General features: G+C 51.3%; 1 protein-coding gene and 1 long non-coding RNA gene across 13 annotated transcripts, besides 4 other annotated features; one reads left to right on the top strand and one right to left on the bottom strand.

Moving 5' to 3' along the window:
• Window positions 1-439: 439 nt before the first annotated feature.
• RELA-DT (RELA divergent transcript) lies at window positions 440-9,152 on the bottom strand. The gene is made up of 4 exons (NR_183625.1): window positions 9,010-9,152; window positions 6,615-6,712; window positions 5,941-6,027; window positions 440-735 (listed from the first exon to the last, which is right to left on the bottom strand). It is a non-coding gene; the product is annotated as an RELA divergent transcript (long non-coding RNA).
• On the top strand, window positions 8,301-18,557 carry RELA (RELA proto-oncogene, NF-kB subunit). Of its 12 annotated transcripts, NM_001243985.2 has the most exons (12): window positions 9,242-9,332; window positions 9,953-9,979; window positions 10,070-10,221; window positions 10,323-10,471; window positions 11,943-12,034; window positions 12,361-12,492; window positions 13,336-13,440; window positions 13,659-13,871; window positions 16,223-16,303; window positions 16,396-16,470; window positions 17,158-17,339; window positions 17,649-18,557. In NM_001243985.2, exons 1-12 carry the CDS (start codon window positions 9,326-9,328, stop codon window positions 17,778-17,780), a joined length of 1,347 nt encoding a protein of 448 aa, NP_001230914.1. In that variant the 5' UTR covers window positions 9,242-9,325; the 3' UTR covers window positions 17,781-18,557. The 12 variants fall into 12 exon arrangements, with proteins under 12 accessions (NP_001391591.1, NP_001230914.1, NP_001138610.1 ...); NM_001404662.1 differs by lacking the exon at window positions 9,242-9,332 and adding an exon at window positions 8,301-8,988 and having other exon boundaries at window positions 17,158-18,557; NM_001145138.2 differs by having other exon boundaries at window positions 12,370-12,492; window positions 17,158-18,557.
• Window positions 8,736-8,935: an enhancer, noted in NCBI's record as "active region_5000". NCBI's record gives its function as "activates an Ori minimal core promoter by ATAC-STARR-seq in GM12878 lymphoblastoid cells {active_cell/tissue: GM12878}" and the evidence as "EXISTENCE:reporter gene assay evidence [ECO:0000049][PMID:35858748]".
• Window positions 9,026-9,435: a silencer, noted in NCBI's record as "silent region_3550". NCBI's record gives its function as "represses an Ori minimal core promoter by ATAC-STARR-seq in GM12878 lymphoblastoid cells {active_cell/tissue: GM12878}" and the evidence as "EXISTENCE:reporter gene assay evidence [ECO:0000049][PMID:35858748]".
• Window positions 9,496-9,555: a silencer, noted in NCBI's record as "silent region_3549". NCBI's record gives its function as "represses an Ori minimal core promoter by ATAC-STARR-seq in GM12878 lymphoblastoid cells {active_cell/tissue: GM12878}" and the evidence as "EXISTENCE:reporter gene assay evidence [ECO:0000049][PMID:35858748]".
• Window positions 17,577-18,077: an enhancer, noted in NCBI's record as "H3K4me1 hESC enhancer chr11:65421552-65422052 (GRCh37/hg19 assembly coordinates)". NCBI's record gives its function as "activates a minimal SCP1, AML or CMV promoter by ChIP-STARR-seq in naive H9 embryonic stem cells {active_cell/tissue: H9 hESC(naive)}" and the evidence as "EXISTENCE:reporter gene assay evidence [ECO:0000049][PMID:30033119]".

The raw sequence follows: 18,787 nt of genomic DNA, 5'->3' as shown, positions 1-18,787 counted from the left end.
ATGTATCAGAATTCCCTTCCTTAAGGCTGAATAATATTCCCTTGCATGTATATACCACATTTTGGGGTTTTGTTTTGTTTTGTTTTTGAGATGGAGTCTCACTCTGTCACCCAAGCTGGAGTGCAGTGGTGTGATCTCAGCTCACTACAACCTCTGTCTCCTGGGTTCGCGCAATCCTCCTGCCTCAGCCCTCCAAGTAGCTGGGATTACAGGCGTGCGCCACCACACCCAGCTAATTTTGTATTTTTTTTTTAGTAGAGACAGGGTTTCGTGGGGTTTCACCATGTTGGCCAGGCTGGTCTTGAACTCCTGGCCTCAAGTGATCCACCTGCCTCGGCCTCCCAAAGTGCTGGGATTACAGGCATGAGCCACCGTGCCCGGCCGCATTTTTTTAATCCATTTGCATTAATCCGGGATCTCCAGAACAGAACCAAACAGATACAGATATAAGAGGCGATTTATTATGGGAATTGGATGACAAAGTTATGGAGGCTGAAAAGTCCCACAATCTGCCATCTGCAAGCTGGAAGACCTGGAAAGCCAATGGTGTAATTCATTCCAAGTCCAAAGACCTGAGGACCAGGTGAGCCAATGGTGTAATGTCTCGGAGTCTGAAGGCCTCCAGGAGCTCTGATGTCTGAGAAGTTGGATGTCCCAGCTCAAGAAAGGAGAGAATTCACCTTTTCTTCACCTTTTTGTTCTATTTGCGCCCTCAGTGGATTCGATGATGGCCACCTATGTTGGATAGGGTGGATCCTTTTACTCAGTCTGATTCAAATACTAACCTCTTCCAGAAACACTCTCACAGACATACCCAGAAATAATTTTCTACCAGCTATCCGGGTATTCCCTGGGCTGGTCAAGTTGACACATGAAATTAACTATCACACTGGTCATGCGTCAATGGACATTTGGGTTGTTTCCGCCTTTTGGCTATTGTGAATAATGCCGCTATGAACACTGGTGTACAGATATCAATTTGAGTTCCTGCTTTCAGTAGTTTTGAGTACTATGAAATTTCTGGATCATGTGTTAATTCTGGTTTAATTCTTTTGAGGAACCGCCATACTGTTTTCCAGAGCGACTGCACCATTTTACATTCCCACCAGCAATTCACAAGTGTGCCAATTTCTCCACGTGTTCTCCACATCTCCATATTTCTCAGCAAACAGCTGTTACCTTATTTTTCTGATAACAGCCATCCTAATGGGTGTGAAGTGGTATCTCTTTGTGTGTTTTTTTTTGTTGTTTTTTTGTTTTGTTTTGTTTTGAGATGGAGTCTCGTTCTGTTGCCCAGGCTGGAGTGCAGTGGCGCGATCTCGGCTCACTGCAAGCTCCGCCTCCCGGGTTCACACCATTCTCCTGCCTCAGCCTCCCGAGTAGCTGGGACTACAGGTGCCCGCCACCATGACCGGCTAATTTTTTGTATTTCTAGTAGAGATGGGGTTTCACCGTGTTAGCCAGGATGGTTTCGATCTCCTGATCTCGTGATCCGCCCGCCTCGGCCTCCCAAAGTGCTGGGATTACTACAGGCGTGAGCCACGGCGCCCGGCCTATTATTAGTTCTTTATATGTTCTAGGTATTAATCCTTATCAGATATGTAATTTGAAATATTTCCTACCATTCTGTGGGTTGATTTTTTACTTCAGTATATTGTATTTGATGTACAAAAGTTTTTAATTTTTATAAGCCTAATTTATTTTTTTCTTTTGTGGTCTGTGCTTTTATGTTGTATCCAAGAAATCACTGCCAAATTCAATGTCATGAATATTATACAACATAAATGATAACATATAAACAATAAAAACGTAAATAATAACATATAAGCAATCAAAAACATGGGGCACTATGTTTTTTTCTGAGTTTATAGTTTTAGGTCCTACATTTAGGTATTTGGTCCCTTTTTAGCTCTTTATTTTATTTATTTTTTTTTTTGAGACAGAGTCTCGCTTTGTCGCCCAGGCTGGAGTACAGTGGCGCGATCTCGGCTCACTGCAAGCTCCACCTCCCAGGTTCACGCCATTCTCCTGCCTCAGCCTCCTGACTAGCTGGGACTACAGGCACCTGCCACCGTGCCCGGCTAATTTTTTTTTGTATTTTTAGTAGAGACAGGGTTTCACCGTTTTAGCCAGGATGGTCTCGATCTCCTGACCTCGTGATCCGCCCGCCTCAGCCTCCCAAAGTGCTGGGATTACAGGCGTGAGCCACCGCGCCCGGCCCCAGTTCTTTATTTTTTTGAGACAGCGTCACACTCTGTCGCTTAGGCTGGAGTGCAGTGGCATGGCTCACTGCTGTGAACTCGAACTCCTGGGCTCAAGCAATCCGTCTCAACCTCCTGAGTAGCTGGGACTACAGGCATGCACCACCATGCCCAGCTAATTTTTTTCTTTTTTTTTTTTTTCTTTTGTAGAGATAGGATCTCACTATGTTGACCAGGCTGGTTTCAAACTCCTGGGCTCAAGTGATCTTCCCGCCTTGGCTTCCCAAAGTGCGGGAATTACTGATGTGAGTCACCAGGTCCAGCCATTTGAACCATTTTGAGTTAATTTTTGTATATAGTGTTAGGTAAGGGTCAACTTCATTCTTTTGCATGTGGATACCCAATTTTCCCAAAACCATTTGTTGAAAAGATTGTCCTTTCCCCCAGTGAATGGTCTTGGCGCCCTTGTTGAAAATCATTCAGCCGTATATGGAAAGGTTTTATTTTTATGGGCTCCCTATTCTGTACAATTGGTCATATGTCTGTCTTTATTTTTTTTGGAGACAGAGTTTCACTCTTGTTGCTCAGGCTGGAGTGTAATGGCTCAATCTCGGCTCACTGCAATCTCCACCTCCCGGGTTCAAGCGATTCTCCTGCCTCAGCCTCCCAAGTAGCTGTAATTTCAGGCATGGGCCACCATGCCCGGCTAATTTTGTATTTTTAGTAGAGACGGGGTTTCTCCATGTTAGTTAGGCTGGTCTTGAACTCCTGCCTCAGCCTCCCAAAGTGCTGGGATTACAGACGTGAGCCACCACGCCCGGCCTATATGTCTGTCTTTATGCTAGAATCACACTGTTTTGATTACTGTAGCTTTGTAGTAAGTTTTGAAATCAGGAAGTATGAGTCCTCCACCTTTGTTTCTTTTTTTTAAGATTGTTTTGGTTATTTGGGTCCCTTGAGACTCCATATGGACTTAATTTAAGAGTGGACTTTTCTATTCCCTCAAAAGAAAATCAAGATTTTTGACATGGGAGAAACATGTAAAGTGACTAAGGTTAAGTTAAAACCCTGTAATTCTAGCTGGGCGCGGTGGCTCACACCCGTAATCCCTGCACTTTGGGAGGCTGAGGCACGTGGATCACGAGGTCAGGAGTGTAAAACCAGCCTGGCCAAGATGGTGAAACCCCGTCTCTACTAAAAATATAAAAATTAGCCAGGCATTGTGGCAGGTGCCTGTAATTCCAGCTACTCAGGAGGCTGAGGCAGAGAACTGCTTGAACCCACAAGGCAGAGGTTACAGTGAGCCTGGGCAACAGAGCAAGACTCCATCTCAAAAAAAAATAATAATAATAAATAAATAAAATTTAAAAACCCTATAATTCTAAATTTGAATATGAAACATTAGTATGAACTCCTGATGCATTTCGTATTTAAAAAAAATTACAGCCAGGTGCGGTAGCTCACGCCTGTAATTCCAGCACTTTGGGAGGCCAAGGCAGGCAGATGACAAGGTCAGGACAGGAGATCGAGACCATCCTGGCCAACATGGTGAAACCCCGTCTCTACTAAAATACAAAAAAATTAGCAGGGTGTGGTGGCGCGTGCCTGTAGTCCCAGCTACTCAGCAGGCTGAGGCAGGGGAATTGCTTGAACCTGGGAGGCAGAGGTTGCAGTGAGCCGAGATCGCGCCACTGCACTCCAGCCTGGCGAATGAGCAAGACTCCATCTCAAAAAAAAAAATTACCAGCTAGGCTGGGCACAATGGCTCATGCCTGTAATTCCAACACTTTGGGAAGCTGAGGCAAGAGGAGTGCTAGAGCCCAGGAGTACAAGATGAGCCTGGGCAACATAGTGAGACCTCTTCTCTACTAAAAAATAAAAAATTAGCTGAGCATGGTGGTGTGTGCCTGTAGTCCCAGCTACTGGGGGACCTGAGGAGGGAGAATCACTTGAGCCTAGGAGTTCGAGCCTGCAATGGGCTATGATCACACCACCACTGCAATCCAGCCTGGATGACAGAGCAAGACTCCCATTTTTTAAAAAATTACTGGCTGGGCATGGTGGCTCACGCCTGTAATTCCAACACTTTGGGAGGCCGAGGCGGGCAGGTCACTTGAGGTCAGGAGTTGGAGACCAGCCTGACCAACATGGAGAAACCCTGTCTTTACTAACAATACAAAATTAGCCGGGCGTGGTAGCGCATGCCTGTAATCCCAGCAACTCGGGAGGCTGAGGCAGGAGAATCACTTGAACCCGGGAGGCGGAGGTTGCAGTGAGCCAAGATCATGCCATTGCACTCCAGCCTGGGCAACAAGAGTGAAACTCTGTCTCAAAAAAAAAAAAAAAAAAAAAAAGTACTAACTATTCACCGAAAACATCTACAATGACTGACTCAGTAGCAATAAGTATCCGAAGTACTCAAGCTGTAGTCTTTAAATATCATTTCCTACTAAGAGAAATCAGGACTCCTTGGAAAGCTGTCTGATTCCAGATCTGGGGCAGAAAATTTACTAGATGAGTCTAGAAATATCTTTTCAGGCCAGGCGCTGTGGCTCATGCCTGTAATCCCAGCACTGTGGGAGGCCAAGGCAGGTGGATCACCTGAGGTCAGGAGTTCGAGACCAACCTGACCAATATGGAAACCCCATCTCTACTAAAAATACAAAAATTAGCTGGGCGTGGTGGCACACTCCCATAATCCCAGCTACTTGGGAGGCTGAGGCAGGAGAATTGCTTGCACCCGGGAGGCAGAGGTTGCAGTGAGCCGAGATTGCACCATTGCACTCCAGCCTGGGCAGTAAGAGCGAAACTCCATCTCAAAAAAAAAAAAGGAAAAAGAAAAGAAATATCTTTTCATACCAAACAGCAAAGAAGCTATCACAGGCTACTGTAATTGCTTTTTTAAAATTATTTTTTTAATAGACATAGGGATCTTGCCATGTTGACCAGGCTGGTCTTAAACTCCTGGCCTCAATCAGTCTTCCCCATTCAGCCTTCCAAAGTGCTGGGATTACAGGTATGAGCCACCAAGACTCATATATTGGAATTGTGTCAAAAGGACTGAAGAACAACCAACTTGAAGAAGTTCTCCCTAACCAAAGACGAATAATTTGAATTTCAATAACTATACTTGATTAAAACACAGCTAATATATTTAAATCCATGCATTCATTAAGATTTTAAAAAACTCAGCCGGGTTTGGTAGTTCATGCCTGTAATCCTAACACTTTGGGAGGCTGAGACAGAAGGATCGCCTGAGCTCAGAGGTTCGAGACCAGCCTTGGCAACATAGCAAGATCTTGTGTCTACTAAAAATTAAAAAAAAGAAATTAGCTGAGTGTGGTGGTGCACGCTGTTAGTCCTAGCTACTTGGGAGGCTAAGGTGGGAGGATTGCTTGAGCCCAGGAGTTTGAGGCTGCAGTGAGCAACGAGTCATGCCACAGCATTCCAGCATGGCGACAGAGTGAGACCCTGCCTCAAAAAATTGTTTTCTTTTTAATTAGCTGTGTGTGGTGGTGAGTGCTTATAGTCCCAGCTACCTGGGAGGCCGAGGTAAGAGGATCCCAACTGATAGGGGCGTTGGTGGGAGAAAAAGTAGGTTTACTGATTTATTCTGAAAGCCAGCAAGACTGAGAGGACGGTGTACTAGCGTTCTAAAGTACCATTTTAAGTCAGTACAATCTTAGGCTCTTTCTATGTTAAGGGCAGGGAAGAGAAGGAGGGTGTGGTCAAGAAGTACCCCATGGCAGACATCTGGGCAGCAGCGAGGGTCTGAGGAGGTTGGGAACTTCTTTGTCCTTGGTCCAGTCACAATGCTCCTATAAATCTTTAAGAAAACATAGTTGTTTACATACTTCTTTAACCCCAGACTAAGTTTTAAAAACTACATGATTGCTGTTTTTATATATTACTCAGTGCTCTAAAGCTTATGGCAGCAAAAAATTAGAAGTCCAAATGCCCATGGCTGGGCACGGTAGCTCACGCCTGTAATAGCACTTTAGGAGGCCGAGACGGGCAGATCACCTGAGGTCAGGAGTTAGAGACCACCCTGGCCAACATGGTGAAACCCTGTCTCTACTAAAAGTACAAAATTAGTCAGATGCAGTGGTTCATGCCTGTAATCCCAACATTTTCAGAGGCTGAGGCAGGTGGATCACCTAAGGTCAGGAGTTTGAGACCAGCCTGGCCAACATGGTGAAACCCCGTCTCTACTAAAAATACAAAAAGTTAGCCAGGCATGGTGGCAGGCACCTGTAATCCCAGCTACTCAGGTGGCTGAGGCAGGAGAATCACTTGAACCTGGGAGGCAGAGGTTGCTGTGAGCCGAGATTGTGCCATTGCACACAACAAGAGCGAAACTCTGTCTCAAAAGAAAAAAAAAATACAAAATTAGCCGGGCATGGTGATGCATACCTGTAATCCTAGCTACTCAGGAGGCTAAGGCAGGAGAATCACTTGAACCTGGGAGGCAGAGGTTGCAGTGAGCCGAGATGGTGCTATTGCACTCCAGCCTGGGCCACAAGAGAGGAACTCCATCTCAAAAAAATAAAAATAAAAATGCCTATCTTCAGGATGAATAAACAAACTGTGGTATATTTACACAACAAAATAGTATACAGCAGTGAAAAAGTGAATTAACTGTGAAACATGAATCATAGTAACAGGTTGAGTGAAAAAAGCAAGTAACAAAGGACAACAAATCATATGATGCCCTCTTCATAAAAGTTCAAAACTGGCTGGGTGCGGTGGCTCACACCTGTAATCTCAGCACTTTGGGAGGCAGAGGCTGGCGAATCACCTGAGGTCAGGAGTTCGAGACCAGCCTGGCCAACATGGTGAAACCCCGTCTCTACTAAAAAAATACAAAAATTAGCTGGGCGTGGTGGTTGGCCCCTTTAATCCCAGCTACTCAGGAGGCTGAGGCAGGAGAATCGCTTGAACCTAGGAGGCAGAGGTTGCAGTAAGCAGAATGCCACTGCATTCCAGCCTGCGCGACAGAGTGAGACTTTGTCTCAAAAAAAAAAAAAAAAAAGTTCAAAACTAAGGAAAACCAAAAGATATATTGTGTAGGCATGCAGATATAACTTTTTTTTTCTTTAAAATACAGAATTCTGGGCCAGGTGTGGTGGCTCATGCCTGTAATCCCACTTTGGGAGGCTGAGGTGGGAGGATCGCTTGAGCCCAGGAGTTTGAGACCAGCCTGGGCAACACAGTGAGACCCATCTCTATTTACAATAAATTAATTAATTAATTAATTTAAAAAATACAGAATTCTGGCCCAGCGTGGTGGCTCACGCCTGTAATCCCAGCACTTTGTGAGGCCAAGCGGGGAGGAAAGTTGAGCTCAGGAGTTCAAGACTAGCCTGGACAACAAGGTTAAACCACTTCTTTACAAAAAATACAAAAACTTAGCCGGGCATGGTGGTGTGCTCCCGTAGTCCCAGCTATGCAAGAGGCTGAAGTGGGAGGATTGCTTGAGCCCAGGAGGTAGAGGCTGCAGTGAGCAGAGATTGTGCCACTGCACTCCAGCCTGGGCGACAGAGACAGACCGTGTCTCAAAAAATAAATAAATAAATAAATACAATACAATACAATACAATACAATACAATACAATACAATACAATACAGAATTCTGGATGGTGGTGGCCCCTTGAGTTTTGCAATGGGTACATGGGTGTTTATCGTATTAATTTAAAAGTTATAAATATACATGAATTTTAAGAAGAGGATCCATGCAAGGTTCAATGATAATTGTATATCATTAACCAAAGATTTTAATTAATCCATTCTGTCACCTGAAGTCGGCCTCCCCCGCCCCCTGCCAAAAGTAAACACTTTTCTAATCAGGGCCAGCCACTGGAGAAACTGAAATGAGTGGGCGGGGTGCTAACTCTATTTTCACTTTTCTCTTCCTGTTTCTTCAGAGCCTGGGAAACAAGTCAGAATTTCCAATCTTTTCCAATTCCCACATGATTTCCTAATTTAAGACGAATTCAGAGAAAATAAAAAAGTCTTTCTCCATCTGGAGAAGACTCCGCCCCCTGCAGTGGAGCATCCTCCTTTGGGGATGAGGCCTGGGGTGGGGGTGCGTCAGCCCCAGCCTCCACACGGACGCGCCTTGGGCTTGGTCTTGGGGGAGCTACCTGCACTGTGGGGTCACATGACAGAATTAGTGGTCAGCCCTAGCTGGAGGTCCAGGGCAAACACAGGCGGGGGCAGGGGGGTGGGGGGTCGTGAGCCTGCTGATTCAAGTGTCCCTGTGGGTCCCGCACCTTCTGAGACACAAGCGCCAGGCTTCAGAGACGAGGCTCCGGGATTTACCCCTGGGGGCCTCCTGCTCCCACAGCCGATGAGAGCCGGCAGTTTGGCTGTATCGTAAGCTGGCGCTTTAGCTGGAGAGGGACGAGCCCTCGGCCAGCTCGCCAGCGGGAGGGCCTCAGTCGTCCCATCCGGGCTGTAGGCTCCGCAAAGCTCTTGATGCACTGTCAGGCTGGGAGGTCCGGCCGCTCCCATTCCCCCACAGCCGCATCTAGATTGGGGTGGGTAGGACATTTTAACGTGCTTCTGAGACAGCCACCACCGAAAGGCACCTTTAGCGGTTAGGAAACCCGCGCGGAGTTCAACCACCCGGCCTCTGCGGAGCAGAAGGCCCGGTCGGGCTTTTCCCTGCGCGGGGCGGGCGGCCGCAGCCCAGTAGCCCTGGCTTTGCTCCAGACCCGGCCCAGAGTGACATCACCAAACTCCGCCGATCGGCGGGAGGGGGCCCTGAAATCCCCTAAAAACAAAGTGAGTAATCGGCGGACCCACCCTCCAGGCGGGGCCGGGACCCGGGAGCTAGCCGAGCCACCGGGCACGCCAGCCTCTTCGTCCTCGGCGAGGCGCGCACTTGGCCCCGACCCCCGGCAGCGGCTGTGCGTGCAGCCTCTTCGTCCTCCGCGCGGCGTGCACTTGCTCCCGGCCCCTGCGCCGGGCGGCGGCGGGGCAGCGCGCAGGCGCGGCCGGATTCCGGGCAGTGACGCGACGGCGGGCCGCGCGGCGCATTTCCGCCTCTGGCGAATGGCTCGTCTGTAGTGCACGCCGCGGGCCCAGCTGCGACCCCGGCCCCGCCCCCGGGACCCCGGCCATGGACGGTGAGGTCGCCCTCTGACCCCGCGGGGTGGCATCGCCGGGGCCGCCGCGGCTGTGGCGGGAGCCCCCGCGCCGCTTTCCGCCCCTTCCTGCGCCGACGGGCGCTGCGCAGGGAGCGGTCGGCCTGCCGGATGGTGGCGCGGGGCGGGGCAGGCGGGGAGGGGTCTGACTCAGTTTCCCCTCTGGGTGGAGGGGGTGGCCCTTGACTCAGCATCCTCCCTGGGTGGGGGAGCAGAGGGAACCTTGACTCAGTTTCCCTCCACACCGTCCATGGGGGCAGCTCTGGCTTCGTTTCCCTATTAGGGGAGAACGCATCTGATTCAGTTTCCTCTCTGGAGGGAGGTGGGGCGTGCCCTCCCTCAATTTTCCTTAAGAAAGTACAACAGGCCCTGATTCAGCTTCCCTCTGGAGAAGAAGGATTCCTTACCCCGTTTTCCCTCAAGAAGCAGGTGTTTCTGGTTCCTTTCCTCCACCCCTTAGTTTCACCGCAGGTTCTAGGGAGCAGGTCCTGACTCAGTTCCCCTGGGAGGGAGCCTGGCTTCTCCTCTCCGTGGAGAGCAGATTCCTCCTTGTGAGAATGGGCATTGGGTGTGTGCTGACCCTGATCTCCCTCCCCTTTCAGAACTGTTCCCCCTCATCTTCCCGGCAGGTAAGTGGCCCCCGCGGCGGTCGGGGAGGTGCTCCCTGGGGTAGGGCAGTGGGGGCAGCCGCCTAATGGGGCTGCGGTGTCCCCTGGCAGAGCCAGCCCAGGCCTCTGGCCCCTATGTGGAGATCATTGAGCAGCCCAAGCAGCGGGGCATGCGCTTCCGCTACAAGTGCGAGGGGCGCTCCGCGGGCAGCATCCCAGGCGAGAGGAGCACAGATACCACCAAGACCCACCCCACCATCAAGGTCAGCACTGCGCCAGGGTGTGCGGGGAAGGGACTGTGGAACCCCAGCCCTCTGTGTTTGGGAGTCAGGTTTGGATGTCTGGGCCTCTGTACTTTGGACAGATCAATGGCTACACAGGACCAGGGACAGTGCGCATCTCCCTGGTCACCAAGGACCCTCCTCACCGGCCTCACCCCCACGAGCTTGTAGGAAAGGACTGCCGGGATGGCTTCTATGAGGCTGAGCTCTGCCCGGACCGCTGCATCCACAGGTGAGGTCCCTGCAGGCTAGGAGGCCCAGCATGAGGGGACAGGAGGCGGGCTATGAAGTAGCCGCTACAGTGTTACTCCTTTCTGGACCCAGGGCAGAATTCCTCACTCCTTGCCCTGACTCAGCTCTGCAAGTAAACTGCCTTTGTCTTGAAATTATCTATTTGTACGTTTACTCTAGCAGATGAGTTCCAGGGGATACGGATGGGTCCCTAATCACTTCTGAATTCCTGACCCCTGTAGCTGGAAGGACAAGTCCCTCAGAGTCACGTCTCTTGTTTGAGGAAGAAAACCATTGAACCAGCACTCTCCCCTGGAGTTGACATTGCAGTTGACAGAGACAGGCTGTAAAAAAATATACAGGCCGGGCATAGTGGCTCATGCTTATAATCCTAGCACTTCGGGAGGCCAAGGCAGGAAGATCTCTTGAGCCTAGGAATTCAAGACTAGCCAAGGCAACATAGTGAGACCCCATGTCTACAAAAAATAAGAAATTAGCTGGGTATGGTGGCATGCGCCTATAGTCCCAGGGAGGCTGAGGTGGGAGGATCGCCTGAGCCCAGGAGGTCACTGCTGCGGCAAGCTATGATTGCACCACTGCACTTGGGTGGCAGGGCGATACCTTGTCTTTTTTTTTTTTTTTTTTTTTTTAAGAAAGAGTCTTGCTCTGTCCCCAGACTGGAGTGCAGTGGCGCGATCTCAGCTCACTGCAACCTCCACCTTCCGGGTTCATGCCATTCTCCTGCCTCAGCTTCCCGAATAGCTGGGACTACAGGTGCCTGCCACCACGCCTGGCTAATTTTTTGTATTTTTTAGTAGAGACAGGGTTTCACCGTGTTAGCCAGGATGGTCTCAATCTCCTGACCTTGTGATCTGCCTGTCTTGGCCTCCCAAAGTGCTGGGATTACAGGCTTGAGCCACCGCACCCGGCCCGACACTGTGTCTCTTAAAAATAAATAAATACACAGATAAATAAACAAGGTGCTGTCAGAGTAACAGTTTCAGTCCTGAAAATAAAACGAGGTCATAGGATAGAAGGATAACCTGGGGTGGGGGAGTTAGGGGAGCTGGTGTGTGATGACTTTAGATTGGGAGGTCAGGGAAGGCCTCCCTCAGCTAAGACTTGAATGGTGAGAAGGAGGAGAGAAGTAGGAAAAGAACATTCCAAGCCGACCAAACAAGTGCAAAGGCCTTGAGGTGGGAATGAGTGTCCTGTGTTTAGAGAGTGGAAAAGGAGCCCCGGTGGCTGTAAGCAGGGAGCCCACAGGGAGGCTGGCAGGGGCAGGGGCACGGAGGTGCTTGTCAGCTGAGTGAAGGGACAGGGTTCGTTGCAGCACAGTAGGAAGCCACTGGAGAGGGTTAGGCATGGAGCGATGATCTAGGGGTGGGCAGAGTAGGAAGGAGCAGGCTGGGCAAGGCAGGAAGGTCTGGGCTCTGTGAGAGACAGTGGGACAGACGACTGGGGGCGCTCAGTTTCCAGAACCTGGGAATCCAGTGTGTGAAGAAGCGGGACCTGGAGCAGGCTATCAGTCAGCGCATCCAGACCAACAACAACCCCTTCCAAGGTGAGGGCAAACCTGCCTGCCACACCCGCACCCTCTGTCACCCTCCCCAGCCCGCCTTTCCTGCATCTCCCTCACTGGCCAAGACACAGTAAAGCTGGAATCTTGGTGCCCATTCAGTACTCTCCCACTTTACCACTGGGAAACTGAGTCCCAGGAGGGGACATGACATTCAGGCCACAGTGGAGTCAGTGCTGGGTTCTGCCTCCTCTAGGACTTGTGTTTCACACACGCACCAGCGGCCCTCCCAGCGCAGAGCTCCCTGCCCCCACTGATAGCACCTATATCCCCACTTCCCCTGCTCTCCTGATCGCCTGTTTTCTTGGCAGTTCCTATAGAAGAGCAGCGTGGGGACTACGACCTGAATGCTGTGCGGCTCTGCTTCCAGGTGACAGTGCGGGACCCATCAGGCAGGCCCCTCCGCCTGCCGCCTGTCCTTTCTCATCCCATCTTTGACAATCGTGAGTAGCGAGGGAGACGCAGGAAGGGGAGAGGGTGGGCCTGAATAGGAGGAAGGGGGTTGGGGTGAGTGTGGCCTGCAAGAGGCGCTCTGGCTTCATTCAATCATCTTGCGTATTTGTCTACTCTTCTCTGCCCAGCTCTTTGTTGGCTGGGGAGAGAGGGCAAAGAAGACCCAGAGCTGTCCTTGAGGTGTAGCTCTGGCCTGGCAGGAAGTCTAGCAGAGAGTCTGATGGGAGATGGGCATTTTCAGTATTGTGTGATGAGAAGGTGGTGTGCCCACAACTGCGATAATGACTCTAGGAAATGAACTCCCAGGAACAAGATAGTGTTCGAGAATGATGATTCAGTGATGGAAGCCCACAGATGAATTGGGCTGACTGATCAGCTGCAGTCTTTAGTTAAGTAACCAGCAGGATGAATGGAAATAAAACGAATCTGGAGCCCCAAGGATGGGAAACCAGGATAAACTGGGGGTCAGGAGGGAAGGGCTCATTGCCAAGGTGGGTATGGACTGGCCTTAAAGATTGCTTTGGTCAGGTGGAGAAAGAGTGTGATCAGATTGGCACCCACTGGACTATAAGCTCCGGGAGAGCAGAGAGGTTTGGGTTTTGTGTGTGGTCGTATTCTTGCTTAGATCAGTGTTGAGTGCACAGTAGGCAAATACTTGTTGAATCGGTTGGGGTGAGGAGCTAATAAGAAGGTCTGACTTTGGCTACAAAGGTGTAGGTGGCAAGCTCTGGGCAACCTTGACTCTGGGCTGGGCAGGGAAGTTGCATCTCCTGCAGGCCACCCTGGGGACCTCTCGTGGCTCAGGTCATCCTCCCTTGTTTTCACTGCCTCAGGTGCCCCCAACACTGCCGAGCTCAAGATCTGCCGAGTGAACCGAAACTCTGGCAGCTGCCTCGGTGGGGATGAGATCTTCCTACTGTGTGACAAGGTGCAGAAAGGTATACATCAGGAGGCAGGGGTGGGCTCTTGGGAGCAAGGGGTGAAGCTGAGCAGAGAAGTGGAGTGTCAGGTAACTGGCTTTGGATACTTCCTCCTGTGCCTCGGGGGCCTCAGGTGGGCCGAAGGGTGATGTATCAGAAGACAAGCATCAGAAGTTGAGGGGGAGACCATGGAGGGTTAGACACACTGACCCACACTGCCACCGCATCTCCTGCAGAGGACATTGAGGTGTATTTCACGGGACCAGGCTGGGAGGCCCGAGGCTCCTTTTCGCAAGCTGATGTGCACCGACAAGTGGCCATTGTGTTCCGGACCCCTCCCTACGCAGACCCCAGCCTGCAGGCTCCTGTGCGTGTCTCCATGCAGCTGCGGCGGCCTTCCGACCGGGAGCTCAGTGAGCCCATGGAATTCCAGTACCTGCCAGATACAGGTACACAGCTGGGGTGGCAGCATCAGGGCAGCTGGGCTCTGTGCCGTGAGAGAGAGGCCAAGACTGCATGTCTGGGGCTGTGGTTGAGGGCCAGAAGCTGGAGTCAGAGCTTGGGATCCAAGAAACTGGAATCCATTTCTTGCCTCATTTAATAATAATGATACCTCAGACATTGAGCTAGTACTACACATCTGCCCCTATTCCAGGCACTTCACTGGATTACCTGATTTTAATCTCATGACCCTTTTGAAGTAGGAGATAGTGTCCAACTTGCCTGGGTTCACGTGGCTAGTAAGTAGCAGAGTCTAGCAGAGTCAGCGTTGGAACCCAGGCCATCTGGCTTCAGGATCCTTTTGCCACACTGGTTGTCTTGTCACTACCATACAGCCCAGCCACATTTTGGTCGAGGTTTGAGTGTCCACTTGGTACCAGGGCCTGTGCCAGGTATTGTGAATACAAAAAATGAGTAAGACATGCTCCCTGCCCTTCAGAGTCTCAGTCACTTGAGGAAGACAAATGTGCAAAACAGATCCTTAAGTCACGGAATGACATGTGAAATGGAGGTGTGCGCAGAGAAGCACGGGGGCACAGTGGCCTCCGGGGAGCTGGAGACAGCTGCATGGAGAAGGTGGCATTGAAGCTGGAGAAAGACACAGAAGTGTGTTCTCCAGGCAGGTGGCCCAGCACCTGGAAGGGAAGGGGTGTTGGCAACTGCACGGCCTATTCAGGGCCACCTTCGTGGTTTGAGCTGATGTTGGGCAGTGAGCAGGCTCAGAGATTGGAGGGCCTGGTTAAGCTGAAGGCCTCTAAGCAGAGAGGTGACAGGAGCAGATTTGGAAGTTGACTCAGGAGGCCACGTGTAGAAGATCAGAGACAGACAGACTCAAAGCAGGGAGGCCATTCTGGAAATGTTGCTGTAGTCCAGGAAGAGAAGATGCGGCACAAACCTTACAGAAGGAATAGCAGAGCAAGATCACATCTCCACCACTGTCCTCAGTTACCCTTCAGCCCTGCAGCCGTTTTGCGTCTTACAGACCAAGCTCAGTCTCACCTCAGGACCTGTGTCTAGCTGTTGCCTCTGCTTGGAATGCCCAAGGTTTTAATGCAAGTGGCTCATGCCAGTCCTTCCCTGACCTCTAAATTAGCCCTTCCCTCTACATTTAGACTGTCCTGACCTCACTTCCAGTATTGTTACATCACCATATCGTCCCTGGACCACCGTCACTTGAGATTTTCTGGTTTGGTTTTGTTTGTTTGTTTGAGACAGAGTCTCACTCTTGTCGCCCAGGCTGGAGTGCAGTGGTGCAATCTCGGCTCACTGCAACCTCCACCTCCCGGGTTCAAGTGATTCTCCCTGCCTCAGCCTCCCGAGTAGCTGGGACTACAGGCGCCCGCCACCACATCCGGCTAATTTTTTGTATTTTTAGTAGAGACGGGGTTTTCACCATGTTGGCCAGGGTGGTCTCGATCTCTTGACCTCGTGATCCACCCGCCTCGACCTCCCAAAGTGCTGGGATTACAGGCGTGAGCCACCACGCCTGGCCGAGATTTTCTGGTTTGTATATATGATTGTGTCCCTCTCACTTTTTCACTAGGATGCCAACTTTTTGGGAGCAGACACCTTGTGTGCATACTCACGGCCACATCCCCAGTGTCTAGAAGGGAGGCTGGCACATAGTAGGTGCTTGATAAATATATGTCAAGTTACTGGCGGGGAGTGAGAGAAAAGAAGATAATCATTCCAAGGTTTCTAGCTTTGGTGACAGGGCAGATGGCGGATGGTCAGGGAATGCAGGAGAAAGAACCTAGTTTTTGAGGGATGATGAGGTTGTCTTTGAATTGATGGAATTGAAGTGCTTTGGAGCTACTGAAATACCACTGTAATTAGAAAGACAGTTCTGAAAGCTCTGACTAAAATATGAAACCATTAGAGATAAGAATAAGAGTCTCTGCTGAAGTCTTAAGGCAGTTGTGCCTCAGCTGCCCCAGAGTGCCAAGAAATTCTCGCCAGGCCTGGGTGGAGGCTGACAATGAGCCAGGATGTGAGCAGTGCAGGAAGGTGTGAGCTGGAGGCTGGGGCCCCCCAGGTCTCCTCTTTGCCCAGAGCATGGCCCCTGTACTCGGCCTCACCATGTGGTCTTAGAGGGGCAGATTCAGCCAACAGAGGCCTCCAAAAGCTGTGGGATTCTCAGAACTGCTGAGTGTCACACATCCCTTCTCATTGGCAGAGAAGGTTGGGAGAATGGGTCTTGGGAAAGCCTGGCTCCTCCCCTTCCTCCTGAGGGACCTTTGAGAGCGTCGGGGACCCACCTGAGGAGAGCAAGTCCCACTTCTCCCCCTTACTTTCCCAGACGATCGTCACCGGATTGAGGAGAAACGTAAAAGGACATATGAGACCTTCAAGAGCATCATGAAGAAGAGTCCTTTCAGCGGTGAGATGGGGACTGGGAAAGCCAGAGAGGAAGGCAGCGGGCAGGGAGGGGACACCCTGGGGCTGAGAACTGACCTAGCCCTTGCCCTACAGGACCCACCGACCCCCGGCCTCCACCTCGACGCATTGCTGTGCCTTCCCGCAGCTCAGCTTCTGTCCCCAAGCCAGGTAAGGATTTCCTTTTGTCCCACTGGAACGACAGGTTCAGCTCTGTTCAGCTGAGGAGCAGTGGAGATGAAGACTCCTGGGCCCCATTACAGACCTACTGAATCAGAGGCTTTGAAAGGATGGCGCAGGAACCAGCGACTTCCTGGGATGCTAATGCACACTGAAGCCTGGGAACCACCGTGCCACTTAAATTCTATATTGGGTATCTTGGGAATCAGAAGTTAAAAATGCAGAATCTCTGCTCTCATCTCTCACTTGAATTGGGGGAACAAAAATCACCTCTAAATTAGCAAGATGTGTGTGCCTGTGCGAGGCTCAAAAACTGACAAGCTCTGCACTTCAGGCCGCTGCTCACTTGGTGCTCCATGGGCTCATTGCCTCTCAGGACTTAGTTTTTCAGCTGTAAACTGAGGAGTCCAGCTTATCTCTCCAAGTGTCCCTTCCTCTAAAAGGCTGGAAGAGTTTCGTGGGCTTGAGTAGTCAGGGAGGACTCCAAGGTGGAGGTGTGGCTAGAACTGGACCCTACAGGCTGGGTCAGATGGGGTAAGAGGAAGGAGATAGGGTGTTGGCAGTGACTCCCTAGAGAGGGATTGAGCCTGAGCACCATGAAGAGGGGCTGGGGTACAGAGGACGGGGTGGATCTCTAGGGCTTTCTCTGACCCCTGCCTCTCTGTCTCTCTCCTCCAGCACCCCAGCCCTATCCCTTTACGTCATCCCTGAGCACCATCAACTATGATGAGTTTCCCACCATGGTGTTTCCTTCTGGGCAGATCAGCCAGGCCTCGGCCTTGGCCCCGGCCCCTCCCCAAGTCCTGCCCCAGGCTCCAGCCCCTGCCCCTGCTCCAGCCATGGTATCAGCTCTGGCCCAGGCCCCAGCCCCTGTCCCAGTCCTAGCCCCAGGCCCTCCTCAGGCTGTGGCCCCACCTGCCCCCAAGCCCACCCAGGCTGGGGAAGGAACGCTGTCAGAGGCCCTGCTGCAGCTGCAGTTTGATGATGAAGACCTGGGGGCCTTGCTTGGCAACAGCACAGACCCAGCTGTGTTCACAGACCTGGCATCCGTCGACAACTCCGAGTTTCAGCAGCTGCTGAACCAGGGCATACCTGTGGCCCCCCACACAACTGAGCCCATGCTGATGGAGTACCCTGAGGCTATAACTCGCCTAGTGACAGGGGCCCAGAGGCCCCCCGACCCAGCTCCTGCTCCACTGGGGGCCCCGGGGCTCCCCAATGGCCTCCTTTCAGGAGATGAAGACTTCTCCTCCATTGCGGACATGGACTTCTCAGCCCTGCTGAGTCAGATCAGCTCCTAAGGGGGTGACGCCTGCCCTCCCCAGAGCACTGGGTTGCAGGGGATTGAAGCCCTCCAAAAGCACTTACGGATTCTGGTGGGGTGTGTTCCAACTGCCCCCAACTTTGTGGATGTCTTCCTTGGAGGGGGGAGCCATATTTTATTCTTTTATTGTCAGTATCTGTATCTCTCTCTCTTTTTGGAGGTGCTTAAGCAGAAGCATTAACTTCTCTGGAAAGGGGGGAGCTGGGGAAACTCAAACTTTTCCCCTGTCCTGATGGTCAGCTCCCTTCTCTGTAGGGAACTCTGGGGTCCCCCATCCCCATCCTCCAGCTTCTGGTACTCTCCTAGAGACAGAAGCAGGCTGGAGGTAAGGCCTTTGAGCCCACAAAGCCTTATCAAGTGTCTTCCATCATGGATTCATTACAGCTTAATCAAAATAACGCCCCAGATACCAGCCCCTGTATGGCACTGGCATTGTCCCTGTGCCTAACACCAGCGTTTGAGGGGCTGGCCTTCCTGCCCTACAGAGGTCTCTGCCGGCTCTTTCCTTGCTCAACCATGGCTGAAGGAAACCAGTGCAACAGCACTGGCTCTCTCCAGGATCCAGAAGGGGTTTGGTCTGGGACTTCCTTGCTCTCCCTCTTCTCAAGTGCCTTAATAGTAGGGTAAGTTGTTAAGAGTGGGGGAGAGCAGGCTGGCAGCTCTCCAGTCAGGAGGCATAGTTTTTACTGAACAATCAAAGCACTTGGACTCTTGCTCTTTCTACTCTGAACTAATAAATCTGTTGCCAAGCTGGCTAGAGATCCGCTTTTTTTCAGCAAACACTGAGCACACATTTTGCTAGTCACATCAGGCCAGACATTGGTGGTAGAGAGCTGGGTGAATGCGTGCACTGTCCTCTGAGAGCTTGCAGTCTGAGAATGCCCTTGGAAACCCCGAGTTACCGTCCAGTGGATGAAAACGGGCAGCTAAGGCAAGAGTCCTAGCACACTGAGAGCCTAGTAGAGCCCGCTGGCTGTGGGGATG

This window comes from Homo sapiens, chromosome 11, assembly GCF_000001405.40.
Source record: "Homo sapiens chromosome 11, GRCh38.p14 Primary Assembly".
In the NCBI taxonomy this organism is placed as follows: Eukaryota; Metazoa; Chordata; class Mammalia; order Primates; family Hominidae; genus Homo; species Homo sapiens.
This window is presented reverse-complemented; position numbering and strand designations above follow the sequence as displayed.